Genomic DNA, 26,930 nt, shown 5'->3' on the forward strand with positions numbered 1-26,930 from the left:
TTGGACCCTGGAGGTCCTTGGCAGCTCCCACTTCTGTATATGTGACTCTGGGCTGTGACCTCTGCCATTGCCCCAGCTAAGCAGCGAGAGCTTGCTGAAGCCCAGAGGGCTGTGGGACCATGAGGGCAGCTCTCTGGACCCTGGGACTCGGGCCCCTTCTTCTGAATCTCTGGGCAGTCCCCATTGGTAAGTTTCTGCTTCCTTCATCCATGGAACTTTCTGGAGGCATCAGCTCTGTTGATGCCCAGGCCCCGGGGCATGAGGGTCCCTGCAGTGACCTGCCGTCTGCCTGGGTCTCACTCAGCCCAGAGTGGGTGGGACATGCTGGGGCAGGAGGGAGGTGACTCCACATGGCTGGATCCCTGTGACCTCAGGGCCCCCAGACCCTAGCCCCACTGCTTGGAACCCAGGGTTCAGGGCTGGGTCAGGCCCTGGACAAAATGAGGGACACGGCCCAGTGTCTGGTCCCAATGACCCTGATCAACAGAGTCCTGAGGGGTCCTGCGGGGGCTGCTCCATCCACGTGCCCTGGAGCAGGGCTGAGGTCCTGGGAAGGAGGTGGGAGGGTTGGCTGCATCTGGCAGTGAGGTTGAGCATGGGGTCCCATGGAGATGCTGCACCCAGGTGGAGACACTGGGGTGTGAAGCCATGTGGAAGGGCTGCTGGGTCAGGGGCAGGGAGGTGTAGAGAGGGGGGTCTAGCTAGAAGGAACAGCAGGAGAGGCTGGAGGTGAGAGGGAGCCCCGGGGACCTGCGTACGTGGGCATGGAGCCATGATGTGAGTGTGGGGCTGGGCGGGAGGCAGGGGAGGGTGCCCTTGAGGCTGAGGAACACTTCACTGTCAAGGCTGGTCCAGGTGCCCAGCAGGGCGGTGACCTGGTGCTGGACGGAGCCACATCCCCAGCGGTGGGGTGGAAGTCTGTGGGCAGCTGCAGAAAGTGCAGAGGAGGTTAGGATTTGAAGGAAAGGCAGCAATGTGGCCACAGATGGATGGAAGCCTGGGGTTGAAGGGATTTGCTTTTGTGTCAACGATCGCATGCACAAGGGCCGGAATTCTCTATTACAACAAGAAATAGCTTTAGAAAATATAAAATGAAAAGCTATTCATAGCGGGCGTGGTGGCTTATGGCTGTAATCCCAGCACTTTGGGAGGCTGAGGCAGGCAGTTTACCTGAGGTCATGAGTTCGAGATCAGCCTGGCCAACATGGTGAAACCCCATCTCTACTAAAAATACAAAAATTAGCCAGTCGTGGTAGTGGGCGCCTATAATTCCCGCTACATGGGAGGCTGAGGCACGAGAATCAGTTCAACCCTGGAGGTGGACATTGCAGTGAGCTGAGATCGTGCCATTGCACTCCAGCCTGAGTGACAGAGCGAGACTTTTGTCTAAAAAAGAAAAAATTGCAGACACCAGCACGCATCCATGTCCTGAGAAGAACCAGGTGGGGAGGGTGATGAGGAGGCTGGGGGGTGTGGAGGGATGGATGAAGACTGAGAGAGAGGAGATTCAAGGCTCCCCAGGAGGTGGGAGGGAAAGGTCTTCATCTTGGACCAGGCAGGGTCCCCCCTCTGCTCCTGACTGCCATCGGGGAGGCTCTTTTCTGGGTGTGGAGAGTCCTCCAGGGGCCCTGGAGGCTGCTCTGGGACCACACAGCACCACCCACATGGACTTCCTCCTACTGGTTGCTTCATTTTCCTCGGGGTGGCTGTGTTGATGTGGGGTTGCAGAGGCCTGGAGAGGGTGGTTAGGGGTGCCTCCGTGGCGGGTGGGAGAGAAGGTGCTGGAGTAGCTGAGATGCTCAGAGACCGGAGGGTGAGATCCTGCCTGGAAGCCGGTATGGGTGGGGTAGTGGGGCTGGGTTTGGCATAGTGGGAGGGCAGGCAGGGGTGGTTTTCCTGGATACTCAGGGTTGCAGAGGACAGGACCGAAGGGTGAGCGGGGCACTCCAAGGGGTGTGGACAGTCACGTGGGTGGGGCAGGTGTGACAGTGGTGGGCTGGAGACCACAGGGCCTCCAGTGGAAGTAGGGGAATGATGCTTGGGAGGCAGAGAGTGGGTGGGAGGACCCACCCAGCTGCAGACCCAGGAGGACAGGGGACTTCCTTGCCTGGGGGATGGGGTCCTCCAGGATGTTGGGGCTCCAGAGGGCCAGGGAGGGGAGTAGCCCCCGGGGAGACACATGGGGTGAGGGTTTCTCTGTGAGCCGCGCCCATCACCTCTCTGGGACTGCTTGGTGGGGTGAGAGGAGCCCGACTCGCTGCTGAGGCCTCACAGGCCGTTCCCTGCTGCCGCGGCTGCCATCTCCTCCTGCGCCTCTGGTTGGTTCTGGCCCCTCTAACTGGACCTGTCTGTCTGTAGGTGGACCAGGTGCTCTGAGGCTGGCGTACAGACACAGCACGTGCGACGGAGTGGTGTTGGTCCGACACCACGGGGCATGGGGATACGTGTGCAACCAGGAGTGGACGCTGGCAGAGGCCTCTGTCGTGTGCAGGCAGCTGGGCTGCGGCCCTGCCGTGGGCGCCCCCAAGTATGTCCCGCTGCCTGGAGAGATGGCCCAGCCCTGGCTTCACAACGTGTCCTGCCGGGGCAACGAGTCCTCCCTCTGGGAGTGCAGCCTTGGCTCATGGTGCCAGAGCCCGTGCCCCCACGCATGGGTGGTGGTCGCGCTGTGCTCCAGTAAGTAGGGAGGAGTGAAGGGGACGGGGCTGAGGAGGAGGAGGAGTGGGAGGACGAGGAGGAGGACTGGGAGGACGCAGAGGAGGACTGGGAGGATGGCGGGTCTCGGAGACGGGCGGGGAGGCTGTGGGTCTGGAGCTCTCTCTGGGAGGGGCTCCTCTCTGGGCACCGGGGCCATCCTGACTGTAAGATTCAGCTGTGGAAAAACCAACGCCAGGGAGAGTCAGAGATTGGAGGAAGGAAGCAGAGTGCGGCCCAGGCGTGGGGGAGGCAGCAGCCGAGCGGGGGCGGGGTCTGTGGACGCCTGAGGCCCACACAGGTAGCTGATGATGGTTTCTTAGACAAATGACAGACAGGTACACGCTTTCCCTTTGAGGTCTGGCTCGAGGGTCCTCAGCTGTCCCTCACATTTTATGTGGCTGTGAGGACCCCCTCATAGCGTCCTGCCTCTGAGGCTGAACCACCTGGCCAGGACCTCCTACCATTTTGGGGCCCAGTGTGAACGGATCCTGCGGGGAACCTTGTTTCAGGAGACCAGCAGCAGAGCATGAAGCTGGGCACAGGGGTCTCTCTGAGCCCAGGGCCCTGTGTGACTGCCCGGTCACCTGCCCCTGAAGCTGGCCCTGGCTCAGCCCATCACTGTCCTCCCTGAAAAAGGAGCTGCCGAGTGACCATGCGGCCAGCTGGGTCCATACCTTAAGGAGGACCGGCCTGTGCTCCACAGACGGCACTTTCCGGGAGCTCCGGCTGGTGAAGGGCCGCAGTCCCTGCGCGGGACTCCCCGAGATCAGAAACGTGAATGGGGTGGACCGCCTCTGTGTCCTGCATGTGGAGGAGGCCATGGTGTTCTGCCGGGAGCTGGGGTGCGGCCCTGTGCTCCAGGCCCCCCGCCGGGACGTGGGCGTCGTCAGGAAGTACCTGGCCTGCAGGGGTACCGAGCCCACCATCCGCAGCTGCAGACTGGACAACAACTTCCGCAGCGGCTGCGACCTGCGGCTGGACGCAGAGGTGGTCTGCTCAGGTGAGGCTGCCACCTGATGTTCCCAGTGACCCTTGGGATGATGCTGGGCCCGGACCTGGGGAGGGCAGGGAGAAGGGGGGTGGGCGTTCCCACGGATGGGCCCCCCTGTCCTGCATGAGACATTGGGCGCAGAGGTGGGAAAGGGCCTCAGCTCTCACGCTGGTTCTCAGCAGAGTGGAGCTGAGTTTCTGGTGGCCCCACAGAGGTGTCCTGGCTCAGAACCCGCAGGCCATCTAGGGGTCCTGGCTGCCGCTGCAAGTCTGAGCTGCCTCAGCTGTGATCTCTGCATGTCTAACATGGATCGGGGTTGGGTAGAGGTCACTTCTTCCCAGCCCTGCCTCAACTGTGTGTGAGCTGCACTGGCCTCACAGCTCCTGGCCTTGTTGTGCATATGAGGAGCAGCTGAAATGAGGTGGATAGTCTGCCTGCTGCGGTACCCCAGAGAGGGTGGTGCTCAGTGGACCAAGGGGTGCCCTGACCTCGCCTCTGGGATTGCAGAGGGTGTTGCTGTCATGGCCTCGGACAGGCAGAGGCTGTGAAATACGTGAGCACCTGCAGCAGGTGACCCTGACCCTGACCTTGGTGATGCGGCCAAGGACGTCTGCTCTGCTCTGGGTGCCGGGTGGAAGGGCCTGTGGCTGCAAGTTCCTGCCTGTGCTTGGTAGACCCTCTGCCTAGATGCAGGTGATGGCTCCTGGCTGAAGCCTTCCGCAGTCTGAGGCTCAGGGCCAGGCTGTTGACCTGAGAACACCTGTCTCCTGCCTGAGAGGACGTCTGCCCCCAGGACACACCGAGGCCCGACTGGTGGGCGGCGAGCACCCCTGCGCCGGGCGCCTGGAGGTGACCTGGGGCACCGTCTGTGATGCGGCCCTGGACCTGGCCACGGCCCACGTGGTGTGCCGGGAGCTGCAGTGTGGGGCGGTCGTGTCCACGCCCGAGGGCGCCCGCTTCGGCCGGGGCTCGGGGCCGGTGTGGACGGAGGCCTTCCGCTGTGCGGGCAACGAGTCGCTGCTGTTCCACTGCCCACGGGGGCGTGGGAGCCAGTGTGGGCATGGTCACGACGCGGGGCTCAGGTGCTCAGGTGAAGTCCTGTGTGTGGGCTCTGAAGGCTCAGCCCTGCCTTGTTCTCTGTCAAATCCCTTCGTGCCCTAAAGGTGCCTCTGGCCAGTAGGTGTGGGTGCTTTTGATGTTTGCTTCTGTTGGTTGAAAGAAGCGCAGGGAAGAGACTGGGTGTAGAGTGATGTACCCCAAGGCTGCAGCTAAGATCAAATTCTTCTGGAGAGCTGTGTGAGCTGGATGCTGATGCAGAGGAGGGTGGGGGAGCTGGTGAGACCAAGGCTGGGCTCTGTGCCCATCCCACTGGGTGTGAAGGAAGGAAATGACCACAGACAGCCATGTTCTGGGTCGGCCGTCTGCAAGCCAGGCTGACTCCTCCTCTCCCCCAGAGTTCAGGATGGTCAACGGCAGCAGCAGCTGTGAGGGCCGCGTGGAGTTCCAGGTGCAGGGGTCCTGGGCACCCCTCTGTGCCACCCACTGGGACATAGCAGATGCCACCGTCCTCTGCCACCAGCTCAACTGTGGCAACGCGGTGGCCGCACCTGGAGGAGGCCATTTTGGGGACGGGGACGCTGCCATCTGGCCTGATGCCTTTCACTGTGAGGGGACAGAGTCCTACTTGTGGAATTGCCCAGTAAGCACCCTGGGGGCCCCGGCCTGTGCCCCGGGAAACACAGCCTCCGCGGTCTGCTCAGGTGGGTGCAGCCAGGACGGTGGACCAGGAGGGTGAGTGAGAGGCATGGACAGAGGAGTGCAAGGAAGGACAGAGGGGGCGGAGAGGTACGGGCCCTGCTGGGGGGTGGTCCTGGGTCCCTCCCGCTGACATCTTGGGCCCCTGTGCGTCCCCATCCCCAGGTCTGGCCCACGCCCTGCGACTGAGGGAAGGACAGAGCCGCTGTGACGGCCGCGTGGAGGTCTCCCTGGATGGCGTGTGGGGCCGCGTCCTGGACGATGCCTGGGACCTGCGCGGCGCGGGCGTGGTGTGCCGGCAACTCGGGTGCAGAGGGGCCCAGCAAGCCTATGACGCACCTGCCCCCAGCCGCGGATCCGTCCAGGTGGCGCTGAGCCGCGTGCGCTGTCTGGGCACCGAAACCCGCCTGACTCAGTGCAACGTGTCCGCGACCCTGCAGGAGCCCGCGGGGACCTCGCGGGACGCCGGCGTGGTGTGCTCCGGTGAGGTCGGAACCGCGTCCCCCATGGCCCGTCGCCACGGGATCCCGGGCGCCCTGACTCTGTCTCTCCACAGGGAGCCTCAGGGTGCGGCTGGCCGCGGGGCCGGGGCGCTGCACGGGGGCGCGTGGGGCACCGTGTGTGACGATGCCTGGGACCTGCGGGACGCGCACGTGGTCTGCAGGCAGCTGGGCTGTGGCCGCGCCCTGAGCGCCCTGGGGGCCGCACACTTCGGAGCCGGGGCAGGGCGCATCTGGCTGGACGAGCTGGGCTGCCAGGGCCACGAGTCTGCGCTGTGGCAGTGCCCGTCGGCGGGCTGGGGGCGGCACGACTGGAGGCACAAGGAGGACGCCGGCGTCTTCTGCTCAGGTGAGCGGCCGTTGGGTATGGAATGATCATGCTGTTTTATTACGTACAGTCATGCGCACTTGCTTTCCAGAACAGCATCAAACTATCGGGAGCTGTTCTCTTCCCTGAATGCAGAACTTCCACAGTGGATTGGGTGAGGTTCCTGTTGGTATAGTAAGTGCTACCGGACAAAGTACTTTGGTTCCGTGCACCTGGGGAGCTGGTCAGCTTCCTGTCGCAGGTTGGCCCTGGGGCAGCCCCACCTGGGCTCATTTTCCGCCGTAACCAGCTCAAGTGCGCTTGAAGTTTCCATCCGAAATTCATATATATATATATATATTTATATATTTTAAAAAATATTTTATATTTATTTAAATATTTATTTATTTATTTATTTATTTATTTTGAGACGGTCTCACTGTGTTGCCCAGGCTGGAGTGCAGTGGCCCCATCACCGGTCACCGCAGTCTTGACCTCCTGTAGTCCAGGGATCCTTCAGCCTCAGCCTCCCAAGCTGCTGGGACTACAGAAGTGAGGCACTGCCGCTGGCTTCAGATTCTTAATTTTGATCCATATTTTGGTGTACTGGAGAACTTTTTGCAGACTTTTTTTTTTTTGACAAGATCTTGGTCAGGCTAGAGTGCAATGGTGCAATCTTGACTCAGTGCAACCTCTGCTTCCTGGGCTCAAACCATCCTCCTGCCTCAGCCTCCCAAGTAGCTGGGACTACGGGCATGTGCCACCATGTCTGGCTAACGTTTATTTTTGTAGAGATGGAGTTTCACCATGTTGCCCAGGCCGGTCTCAAACTCCTGGACTCAAGCGATCCACCTGCCTCAGCCTCCCAAAGTGTTGGGATTACAGGTGTGAGCCACCGCACCTGACCATTTTGCAGACTATTTTTGAGATGGTGGATGAGCTTTATTATTATTATTATTATTATTCACACATACCTGAGCGTCTTTGTGTTCTGATCTTGTCCAGGTGTGGTCATTCTTGGGTGATGGAATTTTGTCATTTTGGGGGATGGGTTCTCTGGAGAAGCCTGTGAGTGGGTCACGGGCTGCCCACCTGACCTGCGGCCTCCTGAGCGGGTCACGGGCTGCCCATCTGACCTGCGGTCTCCTGAGAGGGTCACGGGCTGCCCATCTGACCTGTGGTCTCCCAGGGTATTTTCAGGCAACCCTGGGGGAGAGGCTGGATGCTGGCAGAGTCTCTGGCAGCTTATCCAAGTGTGGGCTCTTCTCATTGATTTTGGTTTATATTTTACTTTAGGAACGCTTTCTTCAGCGATATCTTGGATTATTACGTTTATTTCAATTACTGTGTTCTTTGTATGCAATGCTGGAGTCTCGTGAGTTTGAGCCTTCCCTATGCTTCTGAAATTAATTTTGGCATGACTCTTTCCCCAGGCATTCTTGGGGTGTTTCTCCAGGTGGCACCCACGTCACAATCTGTGTTTCTGTCGATTCTGCTCTTCAGTCCTTTGGTGTATTATTTCGCCCTCCTCACCTCGTCCATCATCTCATTTTTGTGTCTTTATTCTCGGCAGCTTGTTTTCTCCTAATGACATGATGCTCTGCTCTCATAAAAGGTCCATCTTTTTCTGGCATCTCAGTGAGAATGACAGGTCATTTTCTAGAACATTCTGCTGGTTTCTGTGGAAAGCGGCGGATGTTAGCCCTTCCTCTGCATCTTCCATGTTGTCCTTGCTCTCTGGTTTGCAGCATTTTCCTCCGGTGGCTGCTTTATTTGTTTTTCTGTGAAGCTTCATTCTGGGGACCCCATCTGAGCTGGCATCTACAGGCACCCGGCTGTCAGACCATCTGCTGGAGCCAGCATGTTGGGCACAGCCAGTTCAATTCCTGGGGCTGCCTCTTTTTCACCTGGGTCTCAGCTATGCCTCGGTCACTTCTGGCCCCTCCAGGCTCCTCAGGGTCCCTGCCTGACAGGGCTGCATCCCCCGGGTGGGGCGGGGCACTCGTGGCTCCTGCTGTCCCACGTGTGGGCAGGTGGACAGGCAGGCCGTGGAGCCCTGCTCAGCTCTGGGCCACCCACATGGCCTGCATTTTGTGCCTATGCTGCTGCTTTGCCCAAGGTCCTGTGCATACGTCCAGGGTACAAACTTTGATTGTTTTGGGAAACCAGATGGGACTGTTCATATCTGAGGGGCAGAAGCTATTTTAAAGAAGAATTAGAACAGTAATTTCTAGACATAGGTAGAAGATTTCTTTTGATAGACTTACAAAAATACTATATTGCTAATATCTTTGAGAGAATGAGATATAAAGTATGTTACATGTTATTAAAATTTGAGTCCAAAAAATTAGAAAGAAAAAACCATCTGTAATCCCAACACCCAGAGATAAAGCCATCGTGAATGCGTAACATATGTGAAATTAATGCTGAGTAACCAGCCCTGCCACAGGCAGCAGCAGCAAGGTGTGTGGCTCCGACCTCTGTGGTCATTGCCTTTGGCTGTGCTCAGCTGCTGGTTCTCCGTCCCAGCCGGGCTCCCTTAGTGCCTTCAGTCACTTGATGGTTAGGTGGAGCCTTGCTTCGGGGCCCTGGCTGAAGGCAGGAGTAGTGGAGGCTCTGTTCTGTCATGATCCAGCCTTGGTTCCAAAAATGATAGCAGTGTCAGCCTAGGAACAGGCACAGAGTCTCAGACCCTATTCCTTGACCCAAGTCCCAAGCCAGCCGCGATTCAAGGACTGGGGCCCAGACTCAGTGAGAGGGTGTGGAAACAGGCAGGGGATACTTATGGACACTTTTGTATTCTATTACAGTGTATTTCTTTCCAGTATTCTTTCTAAGCTTATTTTAATTAGATATGATCCTATCAGATGCAATTCATACCCAATGTTCTCCAAGTATCCTGGTATAGGTATTTTAAAAGCGTTATTACAGTGCTCCATGGCACAGCTTTAAAGGATTGTCTAACATGCCATTAGGTGACCATATTAGTCTTTTGGACTTTACACTGCTCCAAGGGTAACATTGAACATATTTGGGCACTGATCCCTCAGGACCAAAGCTATCTCTGAACATGGGGCTGAGGTACACACACACACACAGACACACACACACACTTAAATAATTACTGCAGTCAAGCTAATGAACATTCCACCATCTCACAAAGTTACGTTTGGTTTTGTGGTAAGAGCACCTAAAATCTACTTTCCTAGCAAACTTCCAGTGTACAATGCAATATTATTAACTACATTCCTCCTGCTGTATGTTGGGTTTCTAGATTTATTCATCCTGCACAGTTGTGTACCCTTTGACCTACATCTCCCCATTCCCCCACCACCTGCCCCTGGTAACCACATTCTATTGTTTTTACGTATTTGACTTTTTTTTTTTTTTTTTGCTCCCATATGTAAGTGGGATCATGCAGAATTTGTCTTTCCATTCCTGGTTTATTTCATTTAACATAATGTCCTCCAGGTTCATCCATGTTGTCACGGATCACATAATTTCCTTCTTATTTGAGGCTGAACAGTATTCCATAGCATCTATGTACCACATTTCTGTTTTCTTTTTTTAAATTGACAATCTTTGTACATCTCTATGGGGTTCATAGTGGTGTTTCAATCCATATAATGTGTAGTGATAAGATCAGGGTAATTGGCAAAGCCATCATCTCAGACATGTATCATTTCTTCGTGTTGGGAACATTCAATATCCTCCTTCCAGCGATTTGAAACCATATAATATACTGTTAATTACAGTCATCCTACAGTGCTATAGAATGCTAGAATTTATTCCTCTTATCCAGCTGTAATTTTGTATCTTTACAGATCTCCTCTTATCCCTCCCTCCCCCAACCCTTCCCAACCTCTAGTATCCTCTGTTCTGCTTTTCACTTCTAGGAGATCAACATTTTTAAGCTTCCATTTATGAGTGAGAACATGTGCTATTTAGCTTTCTAGCTTGTTTCACTTAACACAGTGTCCTCCAGTTCCATCCGTATTGCTGCAAATGATGGGATTTTATTGTTTTTTTAATGGCTGAGTAACTCCATTGTGTATATGCTGTATTTTCTCTATCCATGTATCTGTTGTTGGACATTACACTCATTCCACATCTTGGCTATTGTCAATAGTGCTGCGGTGAACCTGGGCGTGCAGTGAACCTGGGTGCTGCAGTGAACCTGGGCGTGCAGTGAACCTGGGCGTGCAGTGAACCTGGGTGCTGCAGTGAACCTGGGCGTGCAGTGAACCTGGGCGTGCAGATGTTTCTGCTGGGCTGATTTCATTTCCTCTGGGTCTATACACAGCAGTGGGATTGCTGGATTGTGTAGTAGCTCTAGTTTAAATTTTCTGAAGAAGCTCTATACTGTTTCTATAACTGATCTCAGTGCTGGGACCCCTTGAGCTTAGCCCCCTCCTTCTGAGACTGCCCATGGTGCCCAGGCAGGGCACTCCCTGGCCTGACTGTGCTTGCCTTGCAGAGTCGGTGGCTCTGAGGCTGCGAGGTGGGACCTGCTGCTGTGCTGGGTGGCTGGACGTGTTCTACAATGGGACCTGGGGCGCCATGTGCAGCAATGCCCTGAAGGACCTCTCCTTGTCCATCATCTGCAAGCAGCTGGGGTGTGGGGTGTGGGGAGTGGGGCTGGCTGGAGAACAGGCCCTTCCCCTCTGCGGGCACCGGGACCGCCTGGGTGGACAACATCGAGTGCCGCAGGCTGCCCAACTCCACTCTGTGGCAATGCCCTTCCCACCCATGGCACCCGCACTCTTGCGACCTTCGAGAGCAGGTCTGGATTACCTGTGCAGGTGGGCATTAGAGGTCTCTGGGGGTGCCTGGGAAGAGGTTTATCTGTCCTGACAGGTCACTTACAGGGGATGCCATTCAATCAGAGCCTGGGCCTGGGGGTCACTAGGATCCACAGCCTTCCTTGTGAAGCTTCTCTGGGCACCGAAGCTCTCAGAGCTGCTGTTTAACCCGCAGGATTGTCAGAGGACAGGCCACAGGCTGCTGGGGAGCCCCTCAACTGCTCCTCCTGGCTCGGCTGCCCAGGTACCCCTCTGTCCTTGTCGCTGTCCTCCTTCCCATCCCGGTCCAGCCCCCGCAGTGACCGCAGCCCCTTTTGCAGAGGAGGGCGCACTGCGCGTGCGCGGGGGCGAGGACCGCTGCTCCGGGCGCGTGGAGCTCTGGCACGCGGGCTCCTGGGGCACCGTGTGCGACGATGGCTGGGACCTGGCGGACGCGGAGGTCGTGTGCCGCCAGCTGGGCTGTGGTCGGGCCGTCGCCGCCCTGGGGGCCGCCGCCTTTGGCCCTGGCTCCGGGCCCGTGTGGCTGGACGAGGTGGGGTGCCGGGGCAGCGAGGCGTCCCTGTGGGGCTGCCCTGCGGAGCGGTGGGGACGCGGAGACCGCGCGCACGAGGAGGACGCGGGCGTGCGCTGCTGGGGTGAGTGGGGGGCGGTGGGAAGTCGGTCATGGGGCCGGCAGAGGGCGCTGGGATGGAGTCAGTCTTGAGTGTCACTTCGGTGGGCAGGAGAGCTCGCCCAGGTGTTAGTGGGTTGGTTTCCACCCTGGGATTTTTCTGGGATAGGCTGATTTGCTGTGGAGGCCTGTTTGGGACATGCACTCCCTGGGGTTTCCCCCTAATCTTTTTTGGGAATTCCCTTTTGTTTATTCCAATCCTTGTTCATTTCGGGTATGTGTCACCTGGGTGTTGGCAGGTTCAGTTGTTCCCTGCACCTCATTCTCTTTGCAGAAAACAAACAGTTAACCACAGTGATGACCTTAGCAAAAGCAGCAGCAGTGGTAACTTTCCCTGAGCCACTCCCATTCTCTGTGCTCTGGTCACCTCTTGTGACTTGCCCTGGCATCTGCCTGGGGGCCATGTTTTACCAAGGAAGGGGGCTGTCCCTTGAAAGCAGACACCCCCAGTGGACACTAGCCATTTTGGGGTGCTCTGCACAGCTGAAACCAGCAGATGCCCCCCCAGCACTTCCGACTCGCAGGTCCTCCATGAGGGAGAGGGTGTGGCTGGGCCCTTGGAGCCACCCTGTCCTGCTGAGGGTGTGCAGGTCCCCCCCACCACCCAGCTGGCTCAAGACCTCTCCTTTCTCAGAGCCTGGCCCAGGCCCCCCACTGCCTGCAGCTCCCTTCCGGACATTCTGGGTGGTCAGTGTCGTCCTGGGATCCCTTCTTGGTCTTCTCCTTCTGGGCCTCATGGCTTTTCTGATTCTGCCTCGAGTCACACAAGCCATGCAGAGGGGTAAGCGTGAGCCCACCCTGATCCCATCAACTGGTGTGCAGGAGCAAGAGCAGCTCACAGCTCCAGCCTGGTGTTGGGGTCTGGGCAGGCGGGGTGCCCCACAGCAGTCAGGCCTATGCAGACCTACCCCCAAAGTCCAAGGAACTGAGAAGCTGAAGAAAGAGGCAGACAAATCCAGTTCCTTAGAAAGAAACACTTAAAAGGGACTTATGAAGACAAGCCATGTCCATGCCTTGGATGGCCTCTAGCTGAGACGGTGGATGCCCATATTATCATCCCTCACAACTAGAACTTATATACCTCAGGGGAAGGGGACATGTAGGACAATTGCTTAAGGGCAGGATTTACAGTGAATGCATGCTCTTATGCAAGGAACAGTAGATAAAATAGAAATCTTAGAGGCCTTCCCGGAACTGGAGTTGGTCAGAAGTCAACACGGTGGATCAGCATTCAGGGCAGAGTTGCTTCAGCCTGCAGGCTGATCTCACTTAGGGCTCATTTTATTGGCCAGAGAGAGTGGCAGACATCTGCATCAGCCTCCAGCCCTCAAGACTGAGCTCAACCCTAGAAGGTTCCCCCAGGCAGCACATTGGGGCCCACTGGGAAGCATCATGTGGTTTGCTGGCAAGGGACGGTGGCCAGGGATGGGAGGGCACTGGGAGTCTGGCTATGTTGCCGTGGTCCCTCCATCCCAGCCCACAGCATCCTGCCTCTTTGCTGCCTGGCTGGGGTTCCTGCCTGGAGTTGCTGTCCTCCCTTGCCTGTGGCCACATCCACACTGAGGGCCTGTGTGTGACCATGCTCACCTTGCCTCAGGTCTGGGAAGATCCGAGGTATCTCCTGGAGAAGCCATCTATGATGTCATTGGGGAAATGCCGCCAGCAGGACTGTACGAGGAAATCATGGAGGCCGAGGCTGTGCTCCAAGATGAGGAGGACGGAAGTGTGGTGAAGGTGGACACAGAAGCCGCAGGTGGGTTTGTGCTCCAGCTCAGGGGTGAGCTCTGGGGTGGGCTACGGATGCTGACCACAAGATGCAGTGGAAAGGGACTCTGACCACAGGAGCCTGGCTTCAGAAGGCTGCTGACCACAGGGCTCATGGATGCAAAGGGACTCGTGGGCAGGGGAGAGCAGGGCCACACCCATGAGGGCAGAGTCAGTGGCTGGAGTCCCCATCGGAGAGGCCTGCCCTGTGGTGGGAGAAGAGGGCTGGTCGGGTGTGCTGGGAGCCGCGGGTCTGGCAGGGGCATATGCTGCAGCTCACTCAGCCTCAGTTTCATCACCTGTGGGAGCTGTGCTGCTGTCACAGGCTGCTTGGGGTGCTTCAATGTCAGGATGCCTTGAACATTGCCAGGTGCTTTCTGGTTGACATGTTTATGCGTTCCTGTCTTACGGGCTTTGCCAAATGTGCTCTGGGGACAACTTGCACGTGTGCTGATTTGGTCACGCGGTGTCTCTTGCGCCAGTTTCAGGGGAGGTGTCTAACCTCCTGGAGGGACAGTCTATACGTGCGGAGGGAGGACACAGCAGACCTGTTTCTCAGGGATATGACGAGGCTGCGTTTCCTCTGGAGGAGATGACGTTGTAAAGCAACCTGAGGATGAGATACACCAGCTGGCTGTCGAAATCACAGCTCTTCATTTTCTTGTACAATTGTAGTGGATTTCGTGAGAACACCTTGGATGCCTTTCTCTTGCAATGTCCTCCATGTCCATGTAAAATCCAGTCCTTCCAGGCCCTGCCTGGCTCTAAACCTCATCCCCTTCGAGGGCCATCTGCTGTGGACAGTTGTGCTGTGTAACCTTCAGATTTCCCACACATTACAGCAAATGCAAATACACATAGAAATCAGTGGTTCCATTTGTGGTTTAGAGACACATGGTGCCATCTTCATCTTCCGCTCCACAGCTCGCTTCTGGCACCCAGCAGTGGGTTGCAGAGCTCCCCATGCCAGAACCTTCCTCTTTTTTCTTAAAAACTCTTCTTAATTGAATCCAAAGTATCTTTTAAATGTTCTACTTGTGTAATCATGTCATCTGTGAATATTCAGATTTATCTTCTCCTTCCAATCCGTGTACATTTAATCTCTTTTTCTGTGCCTTATTTCGGGGGCTGGGACCCTTCAGTCCAGTGTTGAAGAGAGGCAGCCAGTGGAGGTCTTGTCTCATTCAAGGACTCAGAGCAAATGTGTTCCACATTTAATTTCACTATGAAATATAATATTTGATGTTCAGTTTTGTAGATGCTATTTATCAGATCAAGGAAAGCCCAGTCTATACCTAATTTGTTAAGGGTTTTGCTTTTTATCATAAGTGTTGACTTTTATCAAATTCTTTTTTGTATCTATTAAGATGATAGATGATTGATTTTCATATGTTAAATTAACCATGGGTTAAACAAACTTACCTTTATCATGATATATTATTCTTTTTGTATTTCACAGGAATTAGTTTGGTAATATGTTGGGTCAATGTTTAAAAAAGAAAATGATGTGTAATTTTTTTCTTTTATTGTAGTATTTCTGTTTAATTTTTGGTATGAGGATTATTCAGGTCTCATAAGAGTTAGGAGTATATTCTCTTTTAAAAAATATTTGCTAATTTACACTCCCACCAACAGTGTAAAAGTGTTCTTATTTCTCCACATCCTCTCCAGCATCTGTTGTTTCCTGACTTTTTAATAATCGCCATTCTAACTGGCATGAGATGATATCTCATTGTGGTTTTGATTTGCATTTCTCTAATGACCAGTGATGATGAACTTTTTTTCATATGTTTGTTGGCTGCATAAATGTCTTCTTTTGAGAAGTGTCTGTTCATATCCTTCACCCACTTTTTGATGGGGTTGTTTGCTTTTACCTTGTAAATTTGTTTAAGTTCCTTGTAGATTCTGGACATTAGCCCTTTGTCAGATGGATAGATTGCAAAAATTTTCTCCCATCCCGTAGGTTGCCTGTTCACTCTGATGACCTATCAATGATAGACTGGATAAAGAAAATGTGGCACATATACACCATGGAATATTATGCAGCCAGAAAAAAGGATGAATTCATGTCCTTTGCAGGGACGTGGATGAAGCTGGAAAACATCATTCTCAGCAAACTAACACTGGAACAGAAAACCAAACACTGCATGTTCTCACTCATAAGTGGGAGTTGAACAATGAGAACACATGGACACGGGGAGGGGAACATCACACACTGGGGCCTGTCAGGGGGTGGGGGGCTAGGGAAGGGATAGCATGAGGAGAAACACCTAAGGTAGATGACGGGTTGATGGGTGCAGCAAACCACCACGACACGTGTATACCTATGTAACAAACCTGCACATTCTGCACAGGTACCCCAGAACTTAAAGAATAATTTAAAAAAATTTGCAAGAGTTTATGTAGCATTGGTTTTATTTCTTCTTAAATGTTGGAAGAACTCACTAGTAAAGCTCTCTAGGCTTGGAGTTTCCTCTTTAGTGAGGTTTTTTTTTTCCAGATTTAATTTTTTAAAATAAATAGTTGAAGTATTCAGATTCTCTATTTCCTATTAGATCTGCTTTGTTCAGTCCTTTTAAAAAATGAATTGGTACATTTAATCTAAATTTTCAAGTTTTTCCATATAAATTTGTTAATAGTATCTTTCTACTAGCCTTAATGTCTACAAAATCTGTAGTCATGTGCATTTTTCAATCCTGATAGTGGCAATTTGTGTCTTCTCTCCTTTTTTTTTTTTTTTTTCGAGACCAAGGTCTCACTGTGTTGCCCACACCAGACTCAAACTCCTGGGCTCTAGCGATCCTCCCTCACAGCCCCCCGCACAGCTGGGACTCTGGGCACTCTGCTGTTCTTGACCGGTGCTGCTGGCGGCTTCATCTCATTAGTCTTTCCAAGGCACGTGGAGCTTGTGCCTTTGGTTTTCTTGATTTTTCTTGGTGAACATCTGCCTTCTAATTCGTTTATTTCTGTTCTCATCTTTGTGATTTCCTTCTGCTTATTCTAGCTTTTTTATATGGACATTCAGATTGTTGATATTCAGCATTTTTTCTTTTTTAATGCATATATTTTAGGTTATAACTTTCCCTTTTAGCATGGCTTTGGCTGCATTCCAAGAGTTTTGATATGTTGTGATTTTGTTTTAATAGGTTTATGGGGGTATAATTAGCATATAATAAACTTCACATATTTAAAGAATACATTGCAATAAGTTTTGACATGCACGTACACCCCTGAAAGGATCGCAGCGTCTATGAGAATGGACGCATCCATCGCCCCCAACGTTTTTCATGTATGTTTGAACATCTGTCCTGTCCCTTCCTGTGTCCTGCCCCTCAGGTGATAAAGTTCAGCTTTCTGACACTGTAGACTAGTTTGCACTATTTTAATTTTATGTAAATGGATTATATAGTATGTACTCTTTTTTCGGGGATGAGAGTCTGGCTTTTTTCGCTCAGCACAATTACTTGCGATTCATCCATGTGGTGAGAAACCATAGTTCATTTCTTCCTCTTGGCAAATAGCGCTCCATTGTGCTGTTTACCTGTTCACTTGATGGACATTTGCATTGCTTAAAGCTTCCAGCTATTGCAAAAAAAGCTGCTACAAATATTCATGTACCAGTCGTCATATGGACTCGTGCTTTCATTTCTCTTGGCTACCTAGGAATGGAACGATTGTAAGGTACGTGCAAGTTTAACATTCTACCAACCTTTCTGGAGTGGCTGCATCATGTTACATCTCCCCAGTAATCTCTGAGTGTTCTGCTTCCTCCACAAGGTTCCAACACTCGGTTGATAACGTTTGACATTCTAACAGGTATATGGTGCTGTGTCCTTGTGGTTTTAATTTGCATTTACCTAAGGACTAATGATATTGAACACCTTTTCATGTGTTTATTTGCCATCTGTATATGTACTCTGTTGAAGTGTCTGTTCAACATTTTTGCTCATGCTTTATTGGGTTGTTTGAGTTTTGAGCATTCTCATGAGCTCCCCTGGGGTGGTCCTTTCCAACTGTGGCCCTGGTACTGAGGGGTCCTCCCCACAGCAGGAACACAGGAAGAAAGTGTTCAATCAAGTCCTGCAGGATGGCCTCAGCCAGGTCCAGATGTGGGCTTGGGGGCCAGGCCACACTAAGCACCTTCCTCCCTCTGGGCTGTCTCCCCACAAGACTCACAGAGCTGAGCCAGGTGTCCCATTGGGCACACAGGGGACCCCACCCTGACAGCGGCCCCCATTGTACTTTGGGCCATTGCTGATCTTTGCTCTTGGTGGGCTGGCGGCTCAGATGTTGCCCAAGAGGCTGTGGGGCAGGAGCAAAGTCTGGGAGACTGGGAGGCTCTGGCTCTTAGGAAGTATCAAAGGCACCCAGGCCTGTGGGAAGAGGTGTCCTGGAGAGGAAAATGGCAGAGGGAGGTGTGTCTGCCCCAGCCGTGTGGGGCTGGAGAGTTGGGGAGAGAATGCATTTGCTATGACAATTCAGTGTTAAGAGTCCACGTGCCAGCAGAGCAGCCCCCAGCCTTGGCGCTACTGACCTTGGGGCTGGGTTGTTCTCTGCGTGGGGCCATCCTGTGCATCACAGGTGCTGAGCAGCATCCCTGGCCTCCACCCACCAGGCACCAGTGGCAGCCCCCTTCCAGTTGTGACAATAAAAAAATGTCTCCAGACGTCACCAAATGTTTCCTGGGGGCAAAATCAGCACAGTTGGAACTTCTGGGTTAGCAGCAGATTGGATAGGATGATGGTGAGTGACTGCCTAAACCATCACCAGCCTGTGTGAGCTGACAAAGGAGGGCTCCTTACTTATGAGTTTATTTGTGTAAAGTCTTAAAAAATTAAAGATATTAGCTTAGTAATTATACACATAATGAATTAACTTTACTGAAAAGAATAGTATGTAGAAAAAATGAGAATTTTAGCAAAATTATTAGACGGTGATGAATGTGGTGTCTCCCTCCTGAGATCTGGTTGTTGAGTGCGGCGTCTCCCTCCTGAGATCTAGTCGTTGAGTGTGGCGTCTCCCTCCTGAGGTCTGGTCAGTTGAGTGTGGCATCTCCCTCCTGAGATCTGGTCAGTTGAAAGTGTGGCGTCTCCGTCCTGAGATCTGGTCATTGAGTGTGGCGTCTCCCTCCTGAGATCTGGTCAGTTGAGTGTGGCGTCTCCCTCCTGAGGTCTGGTCAGTTGAGTGTGGCGTCTCCCTCCTGAGGTCTGGTCAGTTGAGTGTGGCGTCTCCCTCCTGAGATCTGGTCAGTTGAGTGTGGCGTCTCCCTCCTGAGATCTGGTCAGTTGAGTGTGGCGTCTCCCTCCTGAGGTCTGGTCAGTTGAGTGTGGCGTCTCCCTCCTGAGATCTGGTCGTTGAGTGTGGCGTCTCCCTTCTGAGATCTGGTCAGTTGAAAGTGTGGCGTCTCCCTCCTGAGATCTGGTCAGTGGAAAGTGTGGCGTCTCCCTCCTGAGATCTGGTCAGTTGAAAGTGTGGCGTCTCCCTCCTGAGATCTGGTCAGTGGAAAGTGTGGCGTCTCCCTCCTGAGATCTGGTCGTTGAGTGTGGCGTCTCCCTCCTGAGATCTGGTCGTTGAGTGTGGCGTCTCCCTCCTGAGATCTGGTCATTGAGTATGGTGTCTCCCTCCTGAGATCTGGTCAGTGGAAAGTGTGGCGTCTCCCTCCTGGGATGTAAGTTGTTGAGTGTGGCGTCTCCGTCCTGAGATGTGTTCAGTTGAGTGTGGCATCTCCCTCCTGAGATTTGGTCATTGAGTGTGGTGTCTCCCCCTCTTTCTTGTTCCTCTTTTGCCATGTGAGGCACCTGCTCCCCCTTCACCTTCCACCATGACTGGAAACTTCCTGAGGCCTCCCCAGAAGCAGATACCACTCTCCTTCCTGTACAGCCTGCAGAACCATGAGCCAATTAAACCTTTTTTTCTTAAAAATTACAGAGTCTCAGGTATTTTTTTATAGCAGTGTGAGAACAGATGAATACAGAGACCCCTCCCAAGGGAACATCCTGTGTCTAATTGTTGGTGGGTGTCTCACCGACCCCAGAGTTGAAGAAGCTCCTTTGCTTAGCTTGTTTCCCATAGGCTGAGCACAGGGTCCCCCAGGGAGTGCCTGGTTGACGGTGGTCAGGTGGCTCAGACCTGCTGAGTCTTGCTGGGGATGGCCCTGCTGCCTGAGGATCCCAAAACGTTGGAAGATGAGGGACTCTCATTGGGCTTTGAGGATCCCCGTAGCCCTAGGACAATTCCAGGTATGTAGCAGGTGCTCCCACATCTTACCACTTAGCTTGGATTTTGAGGTTTAAATGCTACAAATATGGTTACTTATTGTGGGCCATGAAATAACCTTAAATCAGTGTTGCAGTGACCTTTGATACTGAATGTTTTTATAAATCAACATTATTTTTAAAGAAAAGTGGTGTGTTTGATTAGGAAAATCCGGCATAGCTGAAGGTTATAACACATTTGAATAAATTAGAGGAAGTGTTCAAATCTTGGGTTGCTGAAATGCTATTACATATACTGTCATGGAAAATAGATAATCATTGGCCAGAGATTAAAAACATGTGCCGATTGATTGAGTTGAAGGATGTTAGAAGGTTTGGAAAATTAAAGGGGCCAGTTGTCTTCCTGTGATGAAATTAAGAAGCACTTTAAATCAGCCATGGCCACGTCTCTGGTTCTTTTGCAATGACTGTTTTCTCCATGTCTTATTTTCTGCACTTGGTCTCTAAGATAAATTGCTAGGTTTCTCCTGAGCACAATTATCATCTCAGTTCTACCTGTGGGCACTTGCTGTGACCACCTACACTGCTTTACCAATCAGTTGTGGGCCTTTGGCCCAAACAAGGAAGTGAGTCAACCCCCATGGGCTCACAATGCCTCATCTACGTGGCCAGGCCTGCTGAGTGCAGAGTGGGGGTCTGGGCTTCAGCCTGCCAGAAGACTCTTAGTCTCCTCAGACCCTTTGGATGCTCCATCCTTGAAGTCAGGACAGTGTCTCCCTGGACACTGCAGGCCACCTCAGCGTCTGGATGGGCACATAAGAATTGTGATGAAAATATTTACCTTCCCGAGTTCACATCAACAGCCAGACATGCTGACAGTGTGCATCCCGGTGTGGTGTGATGAGAATGTCACGTGCCTCTGTGTCTTTCCGCCCCAAAACCCGTAACTTTCATCATGAGTAAAAAAATAATCAGGCGAATCCCAGTCAAGGGAATACCTGGAAGATACAAAATACCTGGCCAATATTCTCCAAAACTACCAAGTTCATCAAAAGCAAGGAAAGTCTGAGAAAATGCTGCAGTCAAGAGAAGCCTAAGGAAACTCCTAACTGTGATGTGGACAGAAGGACGTTAGGGGAACACGGAGGAACTGGGAATCAGCCATGGATTGCAGTTGACAGTATAGGATCGATACTGGCACATTAATGTAACACATGCTAATGGGAGATGTCAGTAACGGGAAACTGGGTGGGGGCAAATTTAAAACTATTCTAAAAGATTAAGTCTATTTAAATAAAATTCCATCCTCCTGCAGGGAGGGTTGCACATGGCCCTTGTGTGCCCAGGGCAGAGGTGCTGGGGAGAAGCCACCAGCTCTGGAATTGATCTCCCCAGGTCCATCACCCAGAAGCCCTGCAGGTGCCCTGGCCTGTCTCTGCTCGAGCCTGGGGGCGGTTCCCATGGGGACCCCTTTCTACCTCCGAGTGGGGTAATTGCTCCCTGAGAGCCGCTCCTGGGGACACGTGGGCCTCTGTAGCAACCTCAGCATCCACCCCGAGGGGACAGACTTCACTCAAAGGTCAGCATCAAACACAGGAGACACTGACTGGGAAGAGACGGGCGTCAGCCTTGAGGCACCATCATGTCCATGGACATGTGGGCTCCCATTTAGACAGGAGCTGGCCTAGCCACACTCCTCACTCAGTGAGTGGCTGCAACCCTCCATGCCTGCCTTCCACATGGATGACCCACCTAATTTTCCTTTCAATGTTTTTGAAAAGTCAGATCTGATTCTACCCTGCCCTGACCTACATTAATGTGGAAAAAATGTTGCTGAAATTGCTTTGCTGTTGTGTTGAGGGTTTCCGTTTGAAACTCTAAGTGCCTGGGAACCTCTGTGGGCCTGCACTGTGCCCTATCTGTGCCCTCGATCAGGTGAGCAAGAAGCCGGAGCCCCGTGGTTTGGCCTTTAAGGCAGATCAGGATCTGTAAGAGGGGCCTGGAAGCTTCCTGTGAATCTGGTGCAAGGCTCCACCTGCCCTTGGTTTCACAGGCAAATGGGGCTCCTGTGATGGAGGATGGATTTCGGGCCTCAGACTGGGCAGCCAGGAGGTCTTTGGGACTGCCTGAGCTGAGGGCTGCCTGGGCTGAGGACTGCCTGGGCTGAGGGACTGCCTGGGCTGGGGGGACTGCCTGGGCTGAGGGCTGCCTGGGCTGAGGACTGCCTGGGCTGGGGGGACTGCCTGGGCTGAGGGCTGCCTGGGCTGGGGGGACTGCCTGGGCTGAGGACTGCCTGGGCTGAGGGACTGCCTGGGCTGGGGGGACTGCCTGGGCTGAGGACTGCCTGGGCTGAGGACTGCCTGGGCTGAGGACTGCAGCTGAAGGCTGCCTGGGTTGAAGACTACCTGGGCTGGGTGCCTCCTGGGCTGGGAAGGAAGTGGGTTTGGCCTTGTTTCCTCTGATGTTGACTAAGCCGCCTCTCCTTGCCCTGGGCTGGGCCTGTCCTGCCCGAGGAGGCTAGGTGGTCAGAGATGGGTGGTGGGAGAGGTATGTGAGGTTGGTTGAGTGGAGGCACTGGATTAGGGGCTGCACCGAGGCTGGGTCTGTGCCTTTCTTTGATGTATCCAGTCTCGGACACAGCCTGACACCCCCTGATGGAACAAACCTCCCACCCAGACCAGGAACAGGAATGGCCAGTCCATGCCCGCTTCTGCATGGAGTCTGCCCTCCTGAGGGAGCGGCCTGGGGTGGCTGAGGTAGGGCCGCAGTCATGGTTTCTACTAAGGAGCTGTGGCCAGGTCAACCTACAGCTGAAATCTGACAGCTGAGGTCACCTGGCCAAAAGAGCTGGAGTCTGGCCTGGTGGTAGTTGGAGCCACTCACTGCCCTGATGTCCCCACATGCCTCCCTTTGGAGAGTGCCCCTCACAGCCTCTGCAGGTGAAACCTGTGCTGTCCTGACGCTAACTCTCCATAAAGCCCATGCCTGCTGGGTGGTTTTCCTTCTCCGCGACCCAGAATCTTGTGCCCAGGTCACTGATGTGGTCTCCACCTGCCTCGGGGGCCAAACACACTTGCACACCACGAGCTTCTGTGTGCTGGAATAATGGAGGAAATGTTTAAAATCAAAGCAATGAGAGGCTCTTGCTGCATTTTTGTTATTTACTGTGATGCCAGCCCCGCTGCAGGCCGGCAGGGAGCACTGTCCTCGGGGGTGAGTGACGCTGGGCTTGTTGACTCCCTCGCAGAGTGGAGGGTTAATGCTCTGATTCTCCCTGGGCGCAGGGACCCATGTTAACATCTTAATTATGTGCTTTCTGCAGCAAAGTTGCCAACAGCAAACTTTCCCAGAGAGTCTCAGCAGGACAGCGAACAAGGGGACAGGTCCCAGAGAGTCTCAGCAGGACAGCGAGCAAGCGGACAGGTCGCAGAGCGACTCAGCAGGACAGCGAGCAAGGGGACAGGTCCCAGAGAGTCTCAGCAGGACAGCGAGCAAGCGGACAGGTCCCAGAGAGTCTCAGCAGGACAGCGAGCAAGCGGACAGGTCCCAGAGAGTCTCAGCAGGACAGCGAGCAAGCGGACAGGTCCCAGAGAATCTCAGCAGGACAGCGAGCAAGCGGACAGGTCCCAGAGAGTCTCAGCAGGACAGCGAGCAAGCCGACAGGTCCCAGAGAGTCTCAGCAGGACAGCGAGCAAGCGGACAGGTCCCAGAGTCTCAGCAAGACAGCGAGCAAGGGGACAGGTCCCAGAGAGTCTCAGCAGGACAGCGAGCAAGCGGACAGGTCCCAGAGAGTCTCAGCAGGACAGCGAGCAAGGGGACAGGTCCCAGAGAGTCTCAGCAGGACAGCGAGCAAGCGGACAGGTTCCAGAGAGTCTCAGCAGGACAGCGAGCAAGCCGACAGGTCCCAGAGAGTCTCAGCAGGACAGCGAGCAAGCAGACAGGTCCCAGAGTCTCAGCAAGACAGCGAGCAAGGGGACAGGTCCCAGAGAGTCTCAGCAGGACAGCGAGCAAGCGGACAGGTCCCAGAGAGTGTCAGCAGGACAGCGAGCAAGCGGACAGGTCCCAGAGAGTCTCAGCAGGACAGCGAGCAAGGGGACAGGTCCCAGAGAGTCTCAGCAGGACAGCGAGCAAGCGGACAGGTCCCAGAGAGTGTCAGCAGGACAGCGAGCAAGCGGACAGGTCCCAGAGTCTCAGCAAGACAGCGAGCAAGGGGACAGGTCCCAGAGAGTCTCAGCAGGACAGCGAGCAAGCGGACAGGTCCCAGAGAGTCTCAGCAGGACAGCGAGCAAGGGGACAGGTCCCAGAGAGTCTCAGCAGGACAGCGAGCAAGGGGACAGGTCCCAGAGAGTCTCAGCAGGACAGCGAGCAAGCCGACAGGTCCCAGAGAGTCTCAGCAGGACAGCGAGCAAGCGGACAGGTCCCAGAGAGTCTCAGCAGGACAGCGAGCAAGCCGACAGGTCCCAGAGAGTCTCAGCAGGACAGCGAGCAAGCGGACAGGTCCCAGAGTCTCAGCAAGACAGCGAGCAAGGGGACAGGTCCCAGAGAGTCTCAGCAGGACAGCGAGCAAGCGGACAGGTCCCAGAGAGTGTCAGCAGGACAGCGAGCAAGCGGACAGGTCCCAGAGAGTCTCAGCAGGACAGCGAGCAAGGGGACAGGTCCCAGAGAGTCTCAGCAGGACAGCGAGCAAGCGGACAGGTCCCAGAGAGTGTCAGCAGGACAGCGAGCAAGCGGACAGGTCCCAGAGAGTCTCAGCAGGACAGCGAGCAAGCGGACAGGTCCCAGAGAGTCTCAGCAGGACAGCGAGCAAGCGGACAGGTCCCAGAGCGTCTCAGCAGGACAGCGAGCAAGGGGACAGGTCCCAGAGAGTGTCAGCAGGACAGCGAGCAAGGGGACAGGTCCCAGAGAGTCTCAGCAGGACAGCGAGCAAGGGGACAGGTCCCAGAGAGTCTCAGCAGGACAGCGAGCAAGGGGACAGGTCCCAGAGAGTCTCAGCAGGACAGCGAGCAAGCGGACAGGTCCCAGAGCGTCTCAGCAGGACAGCGAGCAAGGGGACAGGTCCCAGAGAGTGTCAGCAGGACAGCGAGCAAGGGGACAGGTCCCAGAGAGTCTCAGCAGGACAGCGAGCAAGGGGACAGGTCCCAGAGAGTCTCAGCAGGACAGCGAGCAAGGGGACAGGTCCCAGAGAGTCTCAGCAGGACAGCGAGCAAGCCGACAGGTCCCAGAGCGTCTCAGCAGGACAGCGAGCAAGGGGACAGGTCCCAGAGAGTCTCAGCAGGACAGCGAGCAAGCGGACAGGTCCCAGAGAGTCTCAGCAGGACAGCGAGCAAGCGGACAGGTCCCAGAGAGTCTCAGCAGGACAGCGAGCAAGCGGACAGGTCCCAGAGAGTCTCAGCAGGACAGCGAGCAAGCGGACAGGTCCCAGAGAGTCTCAGCAGGACAGCGAGCAAGCGGACAGGTCCCAGAGAGTCTCAGCAGGACAGCGAGCAAGCGGACAGGTCCCAGAGAGTCTCAGCAGGACAGCGAGCAAGGGGACAGGTCCCAGAGAGTCTCAGCAGGACAGCGAGCAAGGGGACAGGTCCCAGAGAGTCTCAGCAGGACAGCGAGCAAGGGGACAGGTCCCAGAGAGTCTCAGCAGGACAGCGAGCAAGCGGACAGGTCCCAGAGAGTCTCAGCAGGACAGCGAGCAAGCCGACAGGTCCCAGAGAGTCTCAGCAGGACAGCAAGCAAGCGGACAGGTCCCAGAGTCTCAGCAAGACAGCGAGCAAGGGGACAGGTCCCAGAGAGTCTCAGCAGGACAGCGAGCAAGCGGACAGGTCCCAGAGAGTCTCAGCAGGACAGCGAGCAAGCGGACAGGTCCCAGAGAGTCTCAGCAGGACAGCGAGCAAGCCGACAGGTCCCAGAGAGTCTCAGCAGGACAGCGAGCAAGCGGACAGGTCCCAGAGTCTCAGCAAGACAGCGAGCAAGGGGACAGGTCCCAGAGAGTGTCAGCAGGACAGCGAGCAAGCGGACAGGTCCCAGAGAGTCTCAGCAGGACAGCGAGCAAGGGGACAGGTCCCAGAGAGTCTCAGCAGGACAGCGAGCAAGCGGACAGGTCCCAGAGAGTGTCAGCAGGACAGCGAGCAAGCGGACAGGTCCCAGAGTCTCAGCAAGACAGCGAGCAAGGGGACAGGTCCCAGAGAGTCTCAGCAGGACAGCGAGCAAGCGGACAGGTCCCAGAGAGTCTCAGCAGGACAGCGAGCAAGGGGACAGGTCCCAGAGAGTCTCAGCAGGACAGCGAGCAAGGGGACAGGTCCCAGAGAGTCTCAGCAGGACAGCGAGCAAGCCGACAGGTCCCAGAGAGTCTCAGCAGGACAGCGAGCAAGCGGACAGGTCCCAGAGTCTCAGCAAGACAGCGAGCAAGGGGACAGGTCCCAGAGAGTGTCAGCAGGACAGCGAGCAAGCGGACAGGTCCCAGAGAGTCTCAGCAGGACAGCGAGCAAGGGGACAGGTCCCAGAGAGTCTCAGCAGGACAGCGAGCAAGCGGACAGGTCCCAGAGAGTGTCAGCAGGACAGCGAGCAAGCGGACAGGTCCCAGAGAGTGTCAGCAGGACAGCGAGCAAGGGGACAGGTCCCAGAGAGTCTCAGCAGGACAGCGAGCAAGCGGACAGGTCCCAGAGAGTGTCAGCAGGACAGCGAGCAAGCGGACAGGTCCCAGAGAGTCTCAGCAGGACAGCGAGCAAGCGGACAGGTCCCAGAGAGTCTCAGCAGGACAGCAAGCAAGCGGACAGGTCCCAGAGCGTCTCAGCAGGACAGCGAGCAAGGGGACAGGTCCCAGAGAGTGTCAGCAGGACAGCGAGCAAGGGGACAGGTCCCAGAGAGTCTCAGCAGGACAGCGAGCAAGGGGACAGGTCCCAGAGAGTCTCAGCAGGACAGCGAGCAAGGGGACAGGTCCCAGAGAGTCTCAGCAGGACAGCGAGCAAGCGGACAGGTCCCAGAGCGTCTCAGCAGGACAGCGAGCAAGGGGACAGGTCCCAGAGAGTGTCAGCAGGACAGCGAGCAAGGGGACAGGTCCCAGAGAGTCTCAGCAGGACAGCGAGCAAGGGGACAGGTCCCAGAGAGTCTCAGCAGGACAGCGAGCAAGGGGACAGGTCCCAGAGAGTCTCAGCAGGACAGCGAGCAAGGGGACAGGTCCCAGAGAGTCTCAGCAGAACAGCGAGCAAGCGGACAGGTCCCAGAGAGTCTCAGCAGGA

At 54.7% G+C, this 26,930-nt stretch overlaps 1 protein-coding gene across 1 annotated transcript; it reads left to right on the forward strand.

Annotated features, from left to right (window-relative positions):
- Positions 1-66: 66 nt before the first annotated feature.
- SCART1 (scavenger receptor family member expressed on T cells 1) lies at positions 67-15,882 on the forward strand. Its single transcript, NM_001396050.1, has 12 exons — positions 67-186; positions 2,359-2,676; positions 3,401-3,697; positions 4,482-4,778; positions 5,143-5,448; positions 5,609-6,292; positions 10,728-11,033; positions 11,228-11,296; positions 11,373-11,687; positions 12,357-12,503; positions 13,320-13,475; positions 13,969-15,882. Exons 1-12 carry the CDS (start codon positions 120-122, stop codon positions 14,088-14,090), a joined length of 3,084 nt encoding a protein of 1,027 aa, NP_001382979.1. The 5' UTR covers positions 67-119; the 3' UTR covers positions 14,091-15,882.
- Positions 15,883-26,930: the final 11,048 nt, after the last annotated feature.

The sequence above is a fragment of the Homo sapiens genome, chromosome 10 (assembly GCF_000001405.40).
Source record: "Homo sapiens chromosome 10, GRCh38.p14 Primary Assembly".
Lineage (NCBI taxonomy): Eukaryota > Metazoa > Chordata > Mammalia > Primates > Hominidae > Homo > Homo sapiens.

Bases quoted from the DNA above. Each gene is read 5' to 3' on its own strand.
- SCART1 (NM_001396050.1), top strand. From the start codon at position 120: ATGAGGGCAGCTCTCTGGACCCTGGGACTCGGGCCCCTTCTTCTGAAT. The intron at 187-2,358 runs GTAAGTTTCTGC...GTCTGTCTGTAG, and splicing joins TCTCTGGGCAGTCCCCATTG to GTGGACCAGGTGCTCTGAGG. The intron at 13,476-13,968 runs GTGGGTTTGTGC...CTCTTGCGCCAG, and splicing joins GGTGGACACAGAAGCCGCAG to TTTCAGGGGAGGTGTCTAAC.